The sequence below is a fragment of the Homo sapiens genome, chromosome 17 (genome assembly GCF_000001405.40).
Source record: "Homo sapiens chromosome 17, GRCh38.p14 Primary Assembly".
Lineage (NCBI taxonomy): Eukaryota > Metazoa > Chordata > Mammalia > Primates > Hominidae > Homo > Homo sapiens.
The window spans coordinates 14834222-14855547 of NC_000017.11; the positions used below are offsets into that span (position 1 = coordinate 14834222).

General features: G+C 41.7%; 1 long non-coding RNA gene across 1 annotated transcript in view; it reads left to right on the plus strand.

The window, feature by feature from the left end:
• The first annotated feature begins 383 nt into the window (after nt 1-383).
• Nucleotides 384-21326, plus strand: part of LINC02096 (long intergenic non-protein coding RNA 2096) — a 65950-nt gene continuing 45007 nt past the window's right edge. Inside the window, exons 1-3 of the long non-coding RNA XR_001753053.2 lie at nt 384-721; nt 3720-3995; nt 5748-5902. This is a non-coding gene — a long non-coding RNA (long intergenic non-protein coding RNA 2096). The remainder of the gene's footprint in view (nt 722-3719; nt 3996-5747; nt 5903-21326) is intronic.

The window sequence follows — 21326 nt, forward strand, 5'->3', positions numbered from 1 at the left end:
CCGTCACCACCTTGGGATACAAATGTGGTCAATCTTTTATTTCTGCACATAGTTGCACACATACCATCTGTACATATTAGCAGAAAGTCTCAAGTCTCACTGAAAGGTGAAGCCGGCTGGGCTTCTGGGTCGGGTGGGGACTTGGAGAACTTTTCTGCGTAGCTAGAGAATTGTAAATGCACCAATCAGCGCTCTGTGTCTAGCTAAAGGTTTGTAAACACACCAATCAACACTCTGCAAAAATGGACCAATCAGCTCTCCATAAAATGGACCAATCAGCTCTCTGTAAAATGGACCAATCAGCTCTCTGTAAAATGGACCAATCAGCAGGATGTGGGTGGGGACAAATAAGGGTATAAAAGCTGGCCACCCGCGCAAACAGCGGTAACTTGGTTGGGTGTTCTTCTCTGCTGTGTAGGCTTTGTTCTTTTGCTCTTTGCAGTAAATGTTGCTGCTGCTGACTGTTGGGTCCCAGCCGTCTTTAAAAGCTATTACACTCACGGTGAAGGTCTGTGGTTTCACTCCTGAAATCAAGCGAGTGTACGAACCCACCGGAAGGAAGAAACTCCAGACTCCGAAGGAACAAACTCTGGACACACCAAATGTAAGAATTGTAACACTCACCGCGACGGTCCGTGGCGTCCACCCTCGCAGCTTCTTTCTTGAAGTCGCCGAGACCAAGAGCGCACCGAAAGGAACCAATTGTGGACACATCCGTTTTGTGAGTTATTTCTTCTTCCCTTTTTCTGCTACTGACCAGTCCCCACCACGAGTTATTTGGTGGCTGCCTCCAAAGAGGCGCTGGGGCAGAGAGGTCAATCCTCTTGTAGATCCTGTGGTGCCAAACCCCTATTAATCGCAAGAGGCATAGCGTCAGGTTCAGGAAGCCAGAACCTTGGAGCTAACAAGTGAGACATGGGGTTTTATGAGTGGGAAACTTACAGATAGAGTGGTTCAGTGGCGGCAAGCTGGATGGAAGAACCACCACCACTTGCAAAAAGCATAGAATATATGGCATTTTCACTTAGCACCCTCCCGTTAACAACCGCCACCTGGTAAGCTTCATTTAACCCCAAAGGGCCTTGATCCCCTCTACCAGCCTATCTGTGTTTAACAGGGTGAGCTAGGGACTTAAAAGTTCCTTATAGATAAGAAAGGAATTGGCCAGGTGCAGTGGCTCATGCCTGAATCCCAGCACTTTGGGAGGCTGAGACCAGCCTGGCCAACGTAGTGAAACCCTGTCTCTACTAAAAATACACAAAATTAGTTGGGCGTGCTGGCGGGCACCTGTAATCCTAGCTACTCGGGAGGCTGAGGTAGGAGAATCTCTTGAACCCGGGAGGCGGAGGTTGCAGTGAGCCGAGATTGTGCCATTGCACTCCAGCCTGGGCAACAGACTCCATCTCAAAAAAAAGGAATTTCCAGGTTGGCTACTCCCAATTCCCTTAGCTTGGAACCCTGAACAAACATTCAGGTGCATCTGCCATACAGGGTTGTTCTCAGGGTGTTTTTTTAAATTTTATTTTGTTTGTTTATTTTTTTTTTTTTTGAGACGGAGGCTCGCTCTGTCACCCAGGCTGGAGTGCAGTGGCGTGATTTCAGCTCACTGCAAACACTGCCTCCCGGATTCACGCCGTTCTCCTGCCTCAGCCTCCCAAGTAGCTGGGACTACAGGCGTCCGTCACCACGCCTGGCTAATTTTTTGTATTTTTAGTAGAGGCGGGGTTTCACTGTGTTAGCCAAGATGGTCTCAATCTCCTGACCTCGTGATCCGCCCACCTCCGCCTCCCAAAGTGCTGGGATTACAGGCGTGAGCCACCGTGCCCAGCCCCGGGTGTTCTTAAGTGGTTGCTGTCAGGTACATCTACCACGCAGATGCAGGTCGTCTGCTACAGCGATGCACTTGCTGGTGCAGATCGCCAATGAACTCCCTGAGTTGGGCTCAACTAAGTTGCTCTTTTGTTCCAGGACGTTGTTCCCAAAGCATGGCCGTGTGTCAGAGTGGCGGGGTCTGCAGGTCTCTCATTCTTCCTCTGCCTAACGTGCATTGCTAGGCAACCCACATAGACACCCCTTCCTCCACAGGGCAATGCACTGTGGGGACCTTAGCATCGTTTCCTGGCAGGGGACTTATTTGGGACCGTCTCAATCCATGAGTGAGACTCTGATAACACTGAATTTCAGAACGCTAGGTGTCCTGATTCATCTCCTGCCCATATAAGTTCCTCTGGTCAGCAGGGCAGTGGCCCCCTAAAGATGTACATGTCCTAAGACCCCAATCCTATGAATATGTCTCTTTACATGATAAAAGGGATACATCAAATGTGACAAAGTTAAGGATCTTGAAGGGGGGAGACTATTCTGGATTATCTGGTGAGCCGGATGTAATTGTAAGGAGCCTTATAAGAGGGAGGCAGGAAGGTCAGAGTCAGAGAAGGTGATGTGGTAACAGAAGCAATGGTTGTGTGATGCAGCTGTGAGCCAAGGAATGCAGGAAGCCTCCGGAAGCTGGGAAAGGCAAGGAAACGCCTTCTCCCTAGAGCCTTCAGAAGGAATGCAGACCTGCTAACCTATTTTACGATTCTGACTTTCAGAACTGTAAGAAAATAAATGTGTGTTGCTTTAAGATACGAAATTAGTGGTAACTTGTCATAAGAGTAATTGGAAGCAAACACAGCTCTTAAGCAAATGTGTCTGTCCCTGCCGAAGCAATCATTTCAGTGTAATGGAACGTTGTGGAAAGGGCAGTCCTCAACAGGCTAGCAGGTCTCCATAGACCTGTCTCCTGGTACAGCAGGTGCTTATTACATGCCCCAAAGAGACCACTCACATCATTTTTTCCCCCTTGAAAATGTGTTCCAATGAGTAATTTGTTGCCCTACTCACAGATGTATTAAGAGAATAGGCTGGCATCACTTTACAATTGAACCCCGTCAGTCGTGAGGTTACCCAAAACATTGCAAAAGGAGTGGAGATGCCCACTGAGTCAACTCTCCACTGAATCCAGGGCTTCCTTCCCCTCTGTTTCTTGCCTGTTCTAAACCAGTTGTCTTCCAACTTCAAGACTCTCCCTTGTCTCTCAGAGCCACTTGACTTGTCCCATCCAAGGACAAATGGAAGCTCTCTACTTATTTTGCAAACTTTCCAAAGCCTTTTATAGTGACCACACCCTCACCTCTCAGATCCAATTTTTGGTCAAAAAGACGGGTGTAGTCCACAAGGGATGGGAAGGAGAGTACAAAGTCACAGGGTGTCCCCTCAGACTCAGGGGAGTGCTTCCATCCACCTTCAGGAGTGCCCAGATCCTGGCTGGATGTCTGAATCCCTTGAGGGACTTTAAAAAATACCCCACCACAAACCAGTTAAATCAGAATCTTTCGTGATAACAGCTTGGACATCTGTATTTTAAACAAATATTCCAGGTGATTCTAAAGTGTAGCCAATCCCTACTTAGATTATGATCCACTCAGGAGACGAATCCTTCAAAAGTGAAATCTTCCATTACAGGTTAGAAGTTATTCTGGAAAGTCCAGCATAAACCTTTCATACCAAAAACCCATTCTAAGTTGAGGGTTACCAATTTAAAGGACTGTGAACTAGTAGGTATTTAGAATCCTTGGGTACTTAGGTGCCTTTGATATTCTCCCTTAAGGGTCTCAATGCTGAACCATTTGTTACATATGTCATCTCACCTCACTTAGTCTGTTTCTTCATTTTAGAGTGGAATAATAGTCCTTGGTTCTCTGGACAACCGGGAGAATTGCATTTTCTGAGGCCCACGATAAGCACCCAACCGTTAATATTTCCATGCTTCTCTGTCCATCCCATGGAGCCTGGGGCTTGAGGGACTGTGCAGTGAGGCAGCAACTCACATCTCCAGCTGTTGGACTGGTCCTGCCAGCGACGTCTGCTCAGTAGAACAAGCAGCACTTCCCCCAGCTCAGCACTGTCTCATTTCTGAGACTGAACACCCCGTGGTCACTCTACATGGATGGGTAGGTTTCCTGAAGGCAGTGCAGTGGATTTTAATACCCAGGGCCTGGTCTCCTATGGCAGGTGGCACTTAAGTTCTCTGCAGAGGCAGACATTTTTTGTTTTGGAGTCTGCAAGAATATCTAGCCATCACTTCTTCCCCACAAGAACAATGGGTGATGCACTATGTTGTACCTGGATCTAATGATGAATGAAATGGTTGTAACATTTGGCTTTAGAAGTTGTTTCAAATGCAATAAATCATACCTGGCACACAAGCAGGTTGTTACAAAACAGCTGCTGATGGAACCTGTCAATGACATCTTCTCTTTGAACGCCGCTGCCTTCCCCAGTGGCCAGGGATAGTTTTGTAAGCAGTTAACTCACCTGAGGCCCACAAAATGGCAGAGTACAGATGAGAGGCATTTCTCCACGGCAGTAAGCCTCCTTTCTCTGGATCTCAGAGTCTGATCTTAGACCTGCTCTGCCCTGGCAAACCATAGGGATGTGCTGATGCCAGACCTGCTGAGCACTGGTCACCTTTGTCTGCAAAAATACTTCTTGCACAGGCATGTTTACAGCATGATGTGAAGCCCTCCCCAAGACCTCTGGAGGATGAGTCAGGAGCCAGGACACAAGGAGAAGGCCCAGACAGAAGATAGGTTTGGGAAGAGGATGGAAAAAGACTGCAGACCAGACAGGTTGGGGAAGGGGCATAGGGCATATCTTACTGCTGAGCTCTGCAAAGCCAAAGTTGTCAGAGGTTCTGTTACTTTCTCTCAAAGACATTGTCTGCTGGAACAGGAAAAATATCCTGAAAGAAAAGAGCAGGACAATCCTATCACTGCAGCAGGGGGAGTCATAAGCTTCAGGGGCTGGGGAACTGAGAGGGAAGAAGCCCAAAAAGAGCTTTCTGGAAGTCTGGAAATACAAGATGTTTCCCTGGTCCTTTGGTAAACAACCCCTATCTGGGGGCTGGGTGTGGGTGTCTTGTCACCTTGTAGATCTATAGGTCATGCAGTCACAGGGAATGCCTAATTTATGAAAGATAATGAGTCCATGAAATATTTGTGAAGGTCCTAGAAATTAGCCAACTTGAGGGATTTGTTGTCCATATCTAAAAATCTTTTTCTTCCTTTTTTTTCCAGGCTTTAAAAAAAGCTTTTTCTTTTTCCCTCATGTTTTGGTCTGCTATGGAACTGAGATATTTTCTAATTTCACTGAGGTCTATTTTAGGAATTAATATGGTTTGGCTGTGTCCCCACCCAAATCTCATCTTGAATTATACTTCCCATAATCCCCACAGGTCATGGGAGGAACCTGGTGGGAGGTAATTGAATCATGGAGGCGGTTACCCTTACAGTGTTCTCATGATAGTGAGTGAGTTCTCATGACATCTGATGGTTTTATAAGGGGCATTTCCCCCTTTGCTCAGCACTTCGCCTTCCTGCCACCACGTGAAGAAGGATGTGTTTGCTTCCCCTTCTACCGTGATTGTAAGTTTCGTGAGGCTTACCCAGGCCTGTGAAACTGAGTCAATTAAACCTCTTTCCTTAATAAATTACCTAGTCTTGCATATTTCTTCGTAGCAGCATGAGAATGAACTAATATGAGGGCTAAAAAATAATTGCTTATGTGGTAAGCTGAAGGATTGTTCCAACTAAGAGTCCTATGCCGTAGGGAAAAACATTTATTTAAATTAATAATTCCTTTTTTTTAAAAAAAGCATTATATATATTTTTTGAGTCTTACTGAATCTTTTTTTCTTTTTACAGGTTAATTTCCCTTGGAAAAGTATTGATGATCAAGTGATGCTAGCAGCAACAGTGTTAAAGGCTTTAACGCTTTTAAAGGTGAGACTTTTGGGAGTTGATTAGGTCATGAGGATGGAGCCTGGTGAATGGGATCAGTGAAAGAGGCCTGATGTGAGGTAAGTGTTGATCAAAAGAAAAAACCAGTTAGGAACAATAGGTTCAAGAGCTCTGTGGTACAATATGGTGACTATAATTAATAGCAATACGTTGCATTCTTGAAAATTGCTAAGGGAGTAGATTCTAAGAGTTCTTACGACAAAAAGTATGTGAGGTAATGCATTTGTTAATTAGCTTGATTTAGCCATTTTACAGTGTAAGCATATTTCAAAACAAGTATTTGTCAATTTAAAATAATTAGTAAACTAGTTTAGAAACAAAGGCCCTAGAGAGACACCTTCTACTGCATAAGGACAGAGAAGTCCGTAGTCTTCAACCCAAAAGAGGGTCCTCACCAGAATTCCACCATGCCAGCACCCTACCCTCAGACTTCAGCTCCCAGAGCTGTGAGAAGTAAATTTCTGTTGTTTATAAGCCACCCAGTCTACGGTATTTTTGTTATAGCAGCCTGAACAGACTAAGGAAGGAAAGAATTTAGTCAAAAGGCCAAGAGACTGTTACCTAAAGACAATTTAGAGAGACTATTCTGGGACACAATTTTTTTTAACCAGTATTTTCTTTCAGAACTCCCTTCAGTTTGACTTTTCTTACCACTAACTGACATGAATTCATAAAGATTGTCACATACTTTGTGGTAAATCTGGAATCTTTCTTCAAATTATAGATGCCCCGGTGCTTAGTCATTTTGTTTAAAAATAATATATGTTAAATTCTTGTTTAAATGGAAATTTTTGTATGTGCGCCAAGAGTCAGCCTCCCCTACTTATTCTGGTATAAACCTAGTTTTTCATCAAGAGTAAGTCATTAAATAAGTTCTTAAGAGGATTGCTACCATTTTGTCAAATCATGTAATTACTGGATAAAGAAGACCTGGAGAAGAGGAGAAAGGAGGCTGTTTCAGTCCTCTTAGGATAATAAATTGTCAGGAAAATGTCTGATTAAGGAAAAAACACAGGATCCTATAGTGATACTTGGTGGGACACTAATACATAAAGAATGCAAAGTTTATGTTTTATACAGTCGTAACATCCTGATTATGGTATACAAGTAATATATGATTGAGGCTGCTAAGATAAACTTCTAGAGGTAAGAGAAAACTGCTGAGAGGATTTTTATTAGAAAGTTTGTTCTGAATTTTTGTGCAGACTTCAAAATACAGATTCAGGGGAAGTCAGAAGCAACATTTAGATCAACTCTTACACCTAAACCTCAAGATTAGATTCAGCACTGATAAATGCAAAGCACCTCAATTATAGCCAAGCGCTTAAACTTACCTCCCAAGGTAGCGTTTAAATGTATCTCTAATTACAGTTGACATACCTGTTGCTCTAAAAGATCTTTTTTGTTTTATTTTTAAAATTGATATAATTGTACATATTCATGGGGTACCTAGTGATGTTTCCACATATATAATGTATAGTGATTTGATTAGGGTAATGAACATATCCGTCATCTTTTTTTCTTTTTTCTTTTCTTTTTTTTTTTTTTTTTTGAGATGGAGTCTCGCTCTATTGCCCAGGCTGGAGTGCAGTGGCGCAATCTCAGCTCACTGCATGCTCCGCCTCCCAGGTTCATGCCATTCTCCTGCCTCATCCTCCTGAGTAGCTGGGACTACAGGCACCCACCACCACGCCTAGCTACTTTTTTTGTATTTTTAGTAGAGACGGGGTTTCACCATGTTAGCCAGGATGGTCTCAATCTCCTGACCTTGTGATGTGTTCGCCTTGGCTTCCCAAAGTGCTGGGATTACAGGCGTGAGCCACCGCGCCCGGCCACATATGGGTCATCTTAAGCCTTTATGATTTCTTTGTGTTCAGAACATTTGATATCCCTCTTCCAGCTACTGGAAACTATGTTAACTATAGTCATTTTACAGTCCAATAGAACGCTAGAACTTATGCCTCCTTTCTGACTGTAATTTTGTATTCTTTAACAAATCTCTATACACCCCCTTCATCTCCTCCCATTCCCAGCCGTCAATATCCTCTGTTGCACATTTTACTTCTATGATATCAACTTACTTAGCTTCCACATATGAGTGAGAACATGCAGTGTTTAACTTCCTATGCATGGGTTATTCACTTAACATAATGTCTTCCAATTCCATGCAGGTTGCCAAGAATGACAGGATTTTATTTTTTAATGGGTGAATAGTATTCCATTCCAAAATATATACTACAATTTCTTTATCCAGTCTTCTGTTGTTGGACACCTAGGTTGATTCCGTTAAAAGATTTTTTTATAAGGAGCCACATGGAAAATCAAACAGACCTGGTTGTTGAGACTGGCAGGTGTTCACCTGGCATCCCCAGAGTTCAGGGACACTGTCTAGAAATAAACTCTTGAAGAGGAAACAAGCTGAAATATACAAAGAAGCTCTGTTGTAAGACTTCCTTGTGGCTACACCGATAACCTACACCTTTTTTACCTTCTCTGTCACAAACGTTTTCTCACCCCTTGGACAGTTGTCACTACTTGTCCCCATTGCCCTGGTACTTGTTAGCCTACACATTATGTTTCCCACATTTATGTTCCTGAAGTTTTAACTCTTTTACTCCCCTCTGTGCAGTTTTCCTTGGAAGAGCCCCCCCGAACCTCCAACCATCCCCTTTGTTTCTTTGGCTTAGAAATCTCTTTCTCGCAGAAATTTCCTTTCTTTTCCAATTCCAACAGCTTTAAAATGGCTCTATTTGGTTGGATATAGTCAGAACTACCACAAGGTGTTACCCCAACAAAAATTTGAAAATTAGATTAGTTCCATTAGTATTTTGAAATTGCTGTAAAATGGATTCAGCCAGAGAGACCCTAGGGAAGAAAAACCAAAATGATCCCAGACATTTTACTGTAGCCCCTTGTCTAAAGCGAAATGCGTCACTCTAAAAGGGACGTGGTGGTTCCTCTAATGAAGTTCAGAGAAAGTGTCTCTAAATGCCTTGGGCACAGTCTAGGGGAGAGAGAGGGAGACAGGTGAGTTGTGTAGTTCGTGCCCATTGAAAGCCCACCTTATCACGGACATATCTGCATCAGGCATTCTAGGCTTGCTAATTAGACGGTCACTTCAGCTGCTTCCCCTTTTGATTTCATGCCCAACAAGATTCATGATTATGAATTGGCTTCATATGTAGGTTTGCCCATAAGGAAGGAATGTGCTGGTCATGCTGAAAGGCATATTCCAGGCGGGTGACACATCTTTTGTTATAAATGGTTAAATTAGAACACTGATTTTATAGCTCAGTCTTTTGAGTTTGATTAATGTGTTTTCCCCTCAGTCCCAGTACGCTGAAAGGACAAGTTTCTAAACTTGTCAGGCTAAGAACCAAACCCTGGACCAGAGTAAATTCACCCAAAAACTCCACCTGACAAGGCCTTGTGGATGACTGACATTCCTGCATGCCCCTGACAATGCTCCAACCTCACCCAACATTTTCTCCTTTGCGTGTCTACAGATGCCTTATGTTTGCTATGGGTCAGATGTCTGTCATTATGGAAACTCTCAGTAAATTCAAGTTGACTTGAACTTGACTCAACTTGCTAGTAATGGAAGGATTTTCCTATGCCAGTTTCCAAGTTTTCCCATTATTGTCAAGAGTACCAGGATTCTCAATAAGACAAGCTTGGCCAGGCACGGTGGCTCATGCCAGTGATCCCAGCACTTTGGGAGGCCGAGGCAGGCAGATCACGAGGTCAGGAGTTCAAGACCATCCTGGCCAACATGGTGAAACTTTATCTCTACTAAAAATACAAAAAAGCTAGCTGGGCGTGGTGGCATGCACCTGTAGTCCCAATTACTTGGGAGGCTGAGGCACGAGAATCGCTTGAACCCAGGAGGTGGAGGTTGCAGTAAGCCGAGATCGTGCCACTGCACTCCAGCCTGGCAACAGAATGAGACTCCATCTCAAAAAAAAAAGCTGAAAGACTCAGCAGTGTTAATCCCAACCTCATAGCTCATTTTTATTCAGAAAATGTGTACTATTGGTAATTTTTAATGTCTCAACTGCCTTATCTGCTTTTTTCTACCATGATAGACCTAATGCTAGACTTTATCAACTCATGCTGGAGTTAATGAGGTGGCCTCTTAACCATAATTCTGGTCTCTTAATGTCATTTCTTTTTTTTTTTTTTTTTTTTTTTGAGACGGAGTCTCGCTCTGTCGCCCAGGCTGGAGTGCAGTGGCGGGATCTCGGCTCACTGCAAGCTCCGCCTCCCGGGTTCACGCCATTCTCCTGCCTCAGCCTCCCAAGTAGCTGGGACTACAGGCATCCGCCACCACGCCCGGCTAATTTTTTGTATTTTTAGTAGAGACGGGGTTTCACCGTTTTAGCCGGGATGGTCTCGATCTCCTGACCTCGTGATCCGCCCGCCTCGGCCTCCCAAAGTGCTGGGATTACAGGCGTGAGCCACCGCGCCTGGCCTCTTAATGTCATTTCTAACCTCCTCCATCTGGTATATCTCTTATAATTAATATTGCCAAGTAGAACACATCTGATTCCCTCATAAGGGTTATCCATAATTGGGCCCAATACCACTCACCCATCTTATTTTCATTGCTCAAATATATACTTTACACTCAGTCATGTGGTCCATCAGTTTTGTATTGCTGAGTAGCAAACCATCGCAGATCTTCAGGCTAAGACAACAATTATTTATTTTGCTCACGACACTGCAATTTGGGAAGGACTATGTGAAGACTGCTAGTCCAGTCTACATGCAGCATAAGCTGGAGCAGCTTGACTGGGGGTCAGATGATCCACTGTGAAGATGGCCCACTCTCATAGCTGGCAAATTGGTGCTCAGCCAAGACTGCAGGATGGTGTCTCTTCACGTCCTCAGGCTGCTAGGGCTTCCTCACAGCGTGGTAGCTGGGTTCCAAGTGTCAGCATCCTAAGAGAACCAAGAGGAAACTGTATCACATTTTATTACCTACCTTTGGAAGTTGAAGAGTCACAAGAGCACCCAAATTCTAGGGGAGAAAATAAAGATCTTTATTCAATTGAATGAATCAAGATCACACTAGAAGATGAGAGAGAAGAAAGGGAAAGGAGAGAAAAAGGAAAAGGAAGAGAGGAAGGGAGGAATGGAGGGAGGAAGAAAATAGAATGGGAAATATTTTTTGGCAGTCTTTTTAGAAAAATGCAGTCGGCTGCACTTTGAATCAGTGGTTGGTTTAGGAGAGTGGTCGAGTAACACTTCCTATCTGGAGAATAATGTATTATCTAATCACATTCATAGATCTTGGAGTTCTGTATCTCATATCACAGTTGAGAAAACTAACACCCACAAAAGTTGTGACTTACCCAGGTCATGATTAGTGGCAGATCTGGGAATAGAACCTGAGTCTATTTAACTACCCTGGCAGATTTTTATTCAGTACGTCCGGATGAGCATTGGGAAATGCATGTTTTTAATACATGTACAAGGTGAGTCTTATAAGCAGACAAATTTGAAGAACACTGCTACAGCTTACTGCACACTGCTGCAGTTACAGACTGGCACATGGGCAGCTTGTTACAGAAATTCAGAAGGGTGTGGTTGCATAGCCTGAATATTTAAAGCCTTCTCCAAATGGAAGACATTATTATTAGTCCATAGCCTGGGAGTGCAAACTAATCTCCCTGGATAATGAGAATGACTAGTCAAGTTCCCCATCCTGCCCTTGAGAAATAGGAATCAGGTACAGACTTGTTGGGGATAATTTAATCCATGCTGGTGTGCTGGCATGCTGCCTTTTTTCCGTCGCATGATTCCAGAAGAAAGTAACCTGTTGCCACAAGCAGAAATCGTTCAGGTACCAGCTGCAAATGTGAACTGGCAGAAGCGAGAGAGCCCTTCATTATGCAATTATCCATAATTAGGTGCTCATTACTACTTTATCATCAGGGAGCCAGCTCCCACCTGTGCAGGATTGTCGTGGGGACTGGCAAGCAGAGTGGAACAGAGCTTTGCTTGTTCTCTAGGAACGTGACATCTGAAATCGGCAGTTTCAACCTGCACATGGGGAGAGGCCATACTGACATGCAGACAGATGCAGACACATGGAGGCCAACTATGTAAATTATGCAGATGTCATAATCCTGGCATTCACTTAAGGTTTTGCTTGTGATAGATGCATGATAGAGAATGGGGGTGGAAGGGAAGCGGCCACTGCTACTTTATCCTCAGTTAATTGAGAAATAGTTTATATTCAGAATAAAATGTCCTTAAGCCAGAAATAAGAGCTTGAAGTGGTGAAAAGTGGAAGACTCAGAATTTGCTTTACCTTTTCTTTGTTAAAAAAAAAAGTCCTCATTATTAAGTGCTTCCTGGCCAAATTAAGAGCAAAGACTCTTTGTCATTTTATGTCCTGCCGTATATTACCTAGCAAACACCAGACTGTCAGTAAGTGTTTCCATAAATGGGGGTGGCTGGACAAACAATGTTAACAGATGAAGGGAAGATGTGCAGAGAGGGTCTTGCTTTAATGCATAGAGAAAAAAACGTGATTAGCTTGTGAAATACTCATAAGGAAACAGGAAAACACAAGTCCAAGTACTTAAACCAATTATATAAAGAGGGGCCACTTTTCCTGTATTAATAAGCACAAGTGATACAAAGTATTACAGATCTTGAATTCAAACCGGAATCAGTAAGGGATAACAGGCATACATTCAGTGTGGTGAGTTAAGCACCGTCGCAATCTCAGTTTTCATTAAAGTAAAAATATTGGGGTTTCTTGTATCCCATAAATGATAACTGCTCTGCAGAATTATCCATGCTTCCCTGCCTTCCAGAAAGGAAAAAGCATATGAGTAAATTTATTGATTTATGTACATTCTACAGCTTCAGTAGTTAAAAGATTCTGGTGTTACTGGCACCAATAGACACAGGTATCTTTAACTGAATGCAGGTTTAGAATTAGCCTCAAAATATATAGGGGTTCTGGAATTAGACAGTGGTGATAATTGTACAATTTTGTGAATATACTAAAAACCACTTAATTTTAGAATATGATATAAATATGAATTCGGAATATGATAAAGGTGACACTTCTGAAATTTCTAGATAACATTGGTTCAAATGAATTGATAGCGTAGGAAAAAATAGAGCATCCCTTTGCTTAATATACCAAATTTATTGAAAATGTATATATTGAATAAAATATTCTTTCTACAAAAAACCCAGGCAAACTATTTTTTATCATCCTATTGTGGGAGGGCCTTTTAAAGCATTATAAAAATCTTCCAAACTCAAACTGATAATTTTATTATTTTTTTCTTTCAACTTTTACTTTGGGTTCAGGAGGTGTATGTGCAGGTTTGTTACATGGGTAAATTGCCTGTCGCTGGGCTTTGGAGTAGAAACGATCCCATCATCCAGGTAGTAAGCATAGTACCCCATAGTTTTTCAGCCCTTACTGCCTCCCTGTTCCTTCCTTCCCCTTCTAGAAGTCCCTACAAAACTGATCAGTTTAATCACATAATTTAAAACTCATAATACATAGCAAAATTCTTTTTAAATGCTACATACAAAGTCGAGGCAAACAGTATAAGGGGAAGAAAAACTTACAGCATGTGATGAAGGGCTAATTTTTGTGACATGCAGAACTCATACGGATCAATGAAACATATAACCTGACAGACAAACAAAAACGTGTATACATGAACAGCTCACAGAAATAAATATCAATAGCAAACAAATACATTAACTCTTATTCATAATTAAAGTAGCAAATATAACCATGCAATGCCAGTTTTTAACCTGTCAGAATTGGTAAATATTAAGATTTATAGGTGGTAAAAAATATATAGTATCTTAAATCAGACTACCCTTGGGTTCCAAGCTTGGTTTCACCACTTACTAGCTGGGTTACCTCAGGTAAATTACTTAGCCTCTCTGTGCTTGACTCCTCTTCTATAGAATGGAAAAAAAATACTTACAAAGTTGTGAAGAAGATAGAGTGAGAAAATATACAAAAAGCACTTAGAAAAGAGCCTTTCACATAGGATGCACTAAATAAATGTGAGACTTTGAAGGAGTGTGCAAAAAATAGCTACAATTTTGATTTGTTGGGAACTTAGAACAATCTTTTTGGAGGACAGTTAATGATATCTTTCTTTCTTTTATTTTCCTTCCTTCCTTCCTTCCTGCCTTCCTTTCTTTTCTTTCTCTCTCTCTCTTTCTTTCTTTGATTTTCTTGAGACAGGGTTGTACTCTGTCACCCAGGCTGGAGTGCAGTGGTGCCATCTTAGCTCACTATAATCTCCATTTCCTGGGCTCAAGTGATCCTCCTGCTGCCTCAGCCTGCTGAGTAGCTGGGACTACAAACAGGCACCATCGCACCTAGCTAATTTTTTGTAGAGATGCGGTTTTGCCATGTTGCCTAGTCTGAAATATCTGACTATATTTAAGTTCACATACCCCAAGCAATGACTCAGCCGTGCCACTGCTAGGATTTAACTATATGGCTATATTCATAAAAGTGCACTGAATTATCTGTGTAGGATTGCTTACTGGAGCATTGTTAGTAATCAATCACAAAATGGGAAACAAGTTTGTCAATATGGAAGCTGCTATTAGAATACAATGCAGCTCTCAAAAAGTACAGGGATTGTTACGCATAAACTGATAAAAGATCTCAGAGGTAATTTTGAGTGAGACCAAACAAGGTACAAGATTTTATATGAGGATGAAATGAACTTGTTTATATAATTAAAAATATATGAATTATTAAGGAAAAAGAACTAAATTATATTTATCTCCTTTTTTTTCTTCTTCTCCCACATGCAGAGAATTTAGTTTCTCTAAAGGTCTGTGCTTTTTTTATATTCTCCTTCTTGAAAGAGCACGAAAGCTACTAGAGTGTCAGGCTCATGAAGGACACTAATGTGGGGTCCAGGTATGTGGAATTGGAGTCCAGTGCTTGGAGTTAGAAGGGTAGAAGTGACTCATTCCAGAAATTCAGGTGCTTGTAGAGCCCTCAAAGACTGAAAACCTAGGGGAATTAGGTTTTGCAGTTTCCATGAGCAGTAAGGACTTAAGGCTCCTCCCCCAAGAAGGGGGCTTTTTATCAGATGGGACTGGGTAGAGGGTCCCCAGGCAGGCCAGGCAAGGAACAGAGAGGCTGTCAGGCTTGGACATTGCCCTTGAGCCTAAAGTAGAGATCAGTTTCTCTTGCTTTCAAGAAAACGTAGAAATCCAGACAATGATCACATCAAAGGTGACCAATATGGACTGAAGACCAGAGGATCCTTCTCTGAGTCGTCTGGACAGCAGAAGACTGTAAAGATTCCAATGCAATGTGGGGAGGGAGAAGGGCCCCCCAAAACGTGACTTGGGATTTAATGTCCCTGCTACCAAAAAGATGGCTTTGGTGTCCAAGGATTTGAAAAGACGAATTTTAGTTTTTACCTTTCCATATTCTTTAGAACATTAATATATAATAATAGTATAGAAAATGTATATACTTGCAATATAGATAATTTGTAAAGAAAGAAGCTTGGTATGAAGAAATGTTTTATAGGATTTGAAAGTAGAGTAATGTTCCTTTGGGTAGGGGATATCTCTTCCAGGACTCTTGATTCTACCTTCTGTAATGTGGAGACAGCACCTAACTTACTCCTTGGGTGGTTGTGAGATTGAATGAGATCTTTACGCAATCTCTATGAGATCTCTATATCCCTAGCATCTGGAAGATGATAAAGGGCTGCTAGTCATATTCTATGAAGCCACAAACAACTGCCAATAAGGGTGGGGGTCCTATTAGAAGGAGGAGTTAATGCTTCATGTGTCTTTCTTTTAACGTATGGTCCCCAACATCACTATAAGGACAATGGTGGCAGAAAGGGCAGGGGAATCTTAATAAAGCTAAGTTGTCTGTTAAGGGGACTTATCATGTGAACATTTGCCCTGGCTATTTCTTCTGCCTGGAAAACTTTTCCCTTAAATATTCACTCAGGTAACTCCTTCACCTGTAAGTATTCTCTAAAATGTCACTGTAGCCTACCTGGACGATCCTAATTAACACTGTAATCCCCTTGGCACTCCCAATGCCCGTGACCTTGTTCTAATTCACCCCTAGCCCCATAGTTTTTAATCATCTAACAAGTTACATATTACATTTGTTTTCTAATTGGTTCACTTCTCTACACATACATACACACACACACACACACACACACGCCCTCAGTCTGCAGGCTGCATGCAGGAAGGGATTTTCTTCTGCTTATGATGAATCAGAAGCATTTAGAAAAGTGTCTAACCCATGATACATGCTCAAAAATTAGTTGAATAAGGAAAATTGTGAATGCCTCTTATTGCTTCTATATGATACCCTTTAATGTTAGAATCTATGTACTGTTGTTACCATTACAAGAATAATTAGTGATCTTGATCTTTAGGATGGAAAAAAAGTCCAGACTAACAGTAGTGATGGAAAGAATTTGACATTTTGTCTACTCTCCTCTCTGCCTTGAGCAGTCTTTGTAACCTTGGAAGTCATTTCACCCTTCGGGATTGGCATGAAAATCTAAGACGTCTATCTCTAATATTTCACTTTCAATAACTCACTATAGAAGTGGACATGCCAGATGCTGGCTGCATCCTTTATGTGTAATCTCACTGGGTGATATTAATTGGGATGAATAGGGCAGTAATCTTCTTTTCTTGGGAAAGGAAGAGACTGGGCACCAAAAAACCTGATGAGAAGTGATATCATCAGCAGAGAGGTGGTAATAAACTGAACTAAGGCAGTGAGATTTGAAAACAAAAACACAATCTTAAAGCTGTTAGGCTTTAAAACTCCAGGGTGTTCCATTTGCCCTGTGCCGTAAAAATGACAGAGTTGGGTTAAGGGTTCTGTACCCCTTATTAGCCATTAGCATTAACAACAAAGATGAAAGACGTTAAGGGCAATTTTTGTCACTGAGATCTGAATTTATTTTCCTTCACTGAATCTTAAATTAGTAGTTAACTGATGGCAAGACCTGTACCAAGAAGGTCATGTTTCCAGCCAACATTTCCTAAACCCATTAGATATCAGTATTCTACAGCCCATAAATTTGGAAGCTGGAGTCTGCCAAGACCAAGACTAACAGAGGGGGGGAATATCATACACATTCAATCACACTATCTTAAGTTTATCTTTTAGAAGCAGATGTTAGCCTATCTCTTGCATCCAACAGGATGCAACATAAGAAGAGCTCATGGATCGGAGCTTTAGTGTAGAAAATCCTTTTAGTTTTTGATCTTTTCCTTTTCCAGAAATACTGTCAGTTCCTGGGAACCATTATCTACTTACTAAGGTTTAAGTGTTACTTAGATGTCCTAGGTTACTATTAAGCTAAAATCCAATTGAAAAGAACAAAGAAAGTTTGTTTGTTTGTTTGTTTGTTCCAAACAAAGAAATTGGTTGGAGTGGTCCTGAAAGACTTTATATATTCCATTTTGGTCCAGGGAGGTTTTTGATTCTACCTTACGCTTCTAAAAGTCTCAGCACAGATAACAGTTTCCCAAATAATCTTTTTACTTAGGCTGCCTTTTAAATAGCATGACACTTGTTTGGGGGGAACAATAGAGACCAAGGAAAGGTATTAGCATTTATTTCATACTAATTGTTTATAGGACACTGTGCTTTCTCATATACTAGGATTTAATTTTCCCAATAGCGTTTTTTGAGAGAAATTATTCCCATTTCACAGATGAAACTATTGCCTACAAGCACTGGAACCAGCAGCAACATCATAAGCTGGTCTGGGAACCCCAATTTGAGAACCATATACCTAGACCTTGCTGTCTAGTCTTTGATACTTCTGCTTGGTATGCCGTCATACCTTTGCTTTATTTATTCATTCAACAAATACTTACTGAATTTCAAGTATATTTCAAGCACTATGCAAGGTTCAGGATGCGTAAGTTATCCAGATTGCCATTCCTTGTTTTTATAGAGCATTTGGTCTATTGGGAAATAAATATTAAACGTGATTGTGTTTAATCATGTTTAATCATGTAAACATGCTTGTGTTTAACATATACAATTTTATAATTGTAATAAGTGCCATGAAGAAAATGTCCAAGGTGCAATGAGATTAAATGAGGAAAAAAGTTTAATCTGGTTCTTAAAGGTTAAGAAGAGGGATGTGAAGTGGGATAATAGGAAAACAAGGGACCTAGCAGGAAAATTACCCATGGAAAGAGCACATGTGAAGAACAGAGAAGGCCAGGGTGGCTGGAAATTATTACCGGACAGAGTTTGGGAGATAAGGCTACAGAGGTAAGAAGAAGACAAATCATGGAGAGTGTAGTGCATCATGGAAATAATTTTTGACATTATCATTAAATCATTGTAGAGCTTCAGGGGGAGTTTAAGAGGGACATGACAATCAATTTGCACTATTTAAGAAGCTGGAGAGAAATCTGTGTGTGCATATGTGTATGTGTGTGTGTGAGTGTGTGTATTTCCAGGCCTTGTTAGCTGGATAAATGATAATAGAAGATGTCATTAATGAATCCAAATTGGAACAACTGGAAGAACAGGGTGTGTATTAGTTCTTATATTACTTTAAAGAAATACCGAGGCTGGGTAGTTTATGAAGAAAAGAGGTTTAATTGGCTTACAGTTTTGCAAGCTGTGCTCAAGTGCTGGCAACTGCTTCTGGTGAGGGCTTCAGGAAGCTTACCATCATGGTAGGAGGTGAAGCGGGAGCCAGTGCCTCACATGATGAGAGCAGGAGCAAGTGGAGGAGGGGGGACAAGGGGAGCTACACACTTTTAAACAACCACATCTCCTGTGAACTCACTCATTGCCGTGGGGATTGGCTAAGCCATTCATGAAGGATCCACTCTGATGATCCAGATACCTCCCAGCAGGCCCCACCTTCAACACTAGAGGTTACATTTCATCATGAGATTTGGAGGGGACAAATATTCACACCATATCAGGGTGTTATCTACTGAGATGGGGAATTCAAGGCAAAAGCAGATTAGGAAGAGATCTGGGGGAGGAAAGCGTTCAGAGTTCAGTTCTGAGCATGTTGAACTGAAGCAGGTGGTAGGTGCACTGGCACTTGACTGTCTGATCCTGAAGTTCCAAAAAAGTGCCTGGACTGGAGATAGGAACTTGAAATCCTATCAGTAGGATTGTTAGGAGTACAATGATGAAGAATAAGGTTTTGAAGTCAAGTAGCCTGGGACTTGACTAGCGACAACAGGGTCTACAATTTACTGTGCAACCTTAGGCAAATCTTACCCTACTGAGCCAGTTCCTGTTTTTTATGTAATATGCTTATTGTTTGTATAGGGTTTTTGTGATAAGTTACTGATAAGCTAAGATGTGCAAATAACTTGATAAATTTTATTAGTTTTGTAAATAGTAATATTATTTATAGAGATATTATTTAAATGTAAAAGACTGATAAACTTGCCTAAGGAAAGTACAGAGCAAGAAGGTGGGCAAGCCCCAATTTCTAAGGAGTTAGTAGAAGAGGGTGAGTCAGAAAAGTTAGCTGAGAGATAAATGCCAGAGAAATAGAAGAAAGGAGAGAGAGGTGTCATGGAAACTAAGAGAAGAGAAAGTTCTAGAAGGAGGAAGGAGTCCATTGAAAGCACAAATGAAGATTAAACTGTCTCTTATTTAGCCACATAGAGTGAAATGCTGACCTTTCCTGAGGCAATTTCAATAGAATGGTAGGGTGCGAGATTGAATGGAGGAGGAAGAGAAGATGGTATGTATCTACAACTGTTTAGAACAGCTCAAGATGCAAGATGCAGTGAGAGTTCATTCAGATGGGAGAACCTGGAACATGTTTGATTTTTGAAGGCAGTGATCTGGGAGAAGAGAGTAAGAGAGAGAGAAGAAAATTGAAAATGCATGTGGGTGAGGAAATGAGGTCAGTGAGGAGGCAAAATGGATGGAGTTGGTCTTAGAATGCAGGAGAGGAATGTCCTGCACTCTAATTGGAGAGAGAAGACAATGAGTGCAGAGGCGGGGGCGGGGGTTGTAGTTGTGGTGATGGAAATTGGTCTTCGTTTGGTATGGGCGGAAGTCAAAGGTGAAAAGGAGTGGCAAAGGAGGTATGACAACAGTCACTACAGAAGGCAGAACACACCAGGAGATGCATTCTGATTCTGGGTAGATTCACTTCAAATCTTTGCTTATCCATCTGCTCTGTTGTGAGTCTTTTTCCTAGCAGGACTTAGTTGTGCAGGGCTGCCCTCGGGAGGCTTTTGTTAGACTCTCCCAGGTTTGGGATTTTCTTGGTTGAGTGTAATGCAAGAACAAAAGCACAGGGAAATGCTTGGAATTTGCAAGATTTGGTGAAACAATGGTTCCTCCACTTCTGAGCTGTGGCCAGGTAGGAAAGGTTGGAGAAATGTTCTGTGAAGAGACAGAATTTATTTATTATGGGACAAAGTTGCAGAAGGCACAGTGGAAATATTTGGAAGAAAATGAAGCCATGGAAGTCTAAGACAGAAACAGCCCAAGACAGCACAGGAAGAAAGGAGATGGTGATGTGGCCATGCCTTGCTCAGAATGTGACCTGTGTGAGGTTAATCCCCTTCAGAATTCCTATAGGTGGATTTGGCTATAACTGTGTGTTTGTTTGTTAATGCGTGTTGCGATCCAGGCAATTCAGAAGCCACAAGTGAAATGAGAGGCTAAATTTATAGGTAAAGAGATAGGTGCAGAAAAGAAGCATGTGCTCATTTTCCCAGACCAAAATATTTGCTGCATGGAATGAGAAAGAAAACACATAATTTTCTATGAGAACAGGACTTTGTTCCTGGCATATGCATCACTCTTTCTCCCAGAGTGCATTGCCTGGCCAGCAGGTGCCCAATGAGCTATTGCGAGTAGGAAAAATAGAACCCCCCCATTGTCACCATAGCTCCTAATTGCTGTGCATTCTGATTCTGGGTAGATTCACTTTAAATCCTTGCTTATCCTTCTACTATTGCTGCTGCCTCCGATCTACCCTCCAGATTGTGCAGCCATGGGGCTAGATGGGGTTGAATCTGGAGGATTGTTGGGAGAGGAGCGGTCTTCACTACAAACCACTCTTGAATACCCTTCCCCTCCTCTCCTCTCATCTACCTGGCCAAATCCGAACAATCAGTTAAGGCCCCTCCTAGTTCTTATCCCTTTGAAGGAGGGTTTCTGTGACAACCTCTACTTTTAGTGTTCCATTTCATAGAGGGTCTGTATTTTATTTAAACTATTTCTTATTTATGCAAATATAGATTTCCTCTCTTTTTTCCTATTAGTGTTGCTTGTAGTAAACATTCTTGTACATACATTTGTAGGACCGTACAAAGTTCTGTCAATAAGAAAAACCCCAATAGAAAGTTGCTAAGTCAAAGGATATATGGATATTTCATTTGATACCTAGTCAAATTGCTGTCCAAAAATTTCTACTCCGATTATGAGAATATGTTTTCTTGCATCCTTGATAA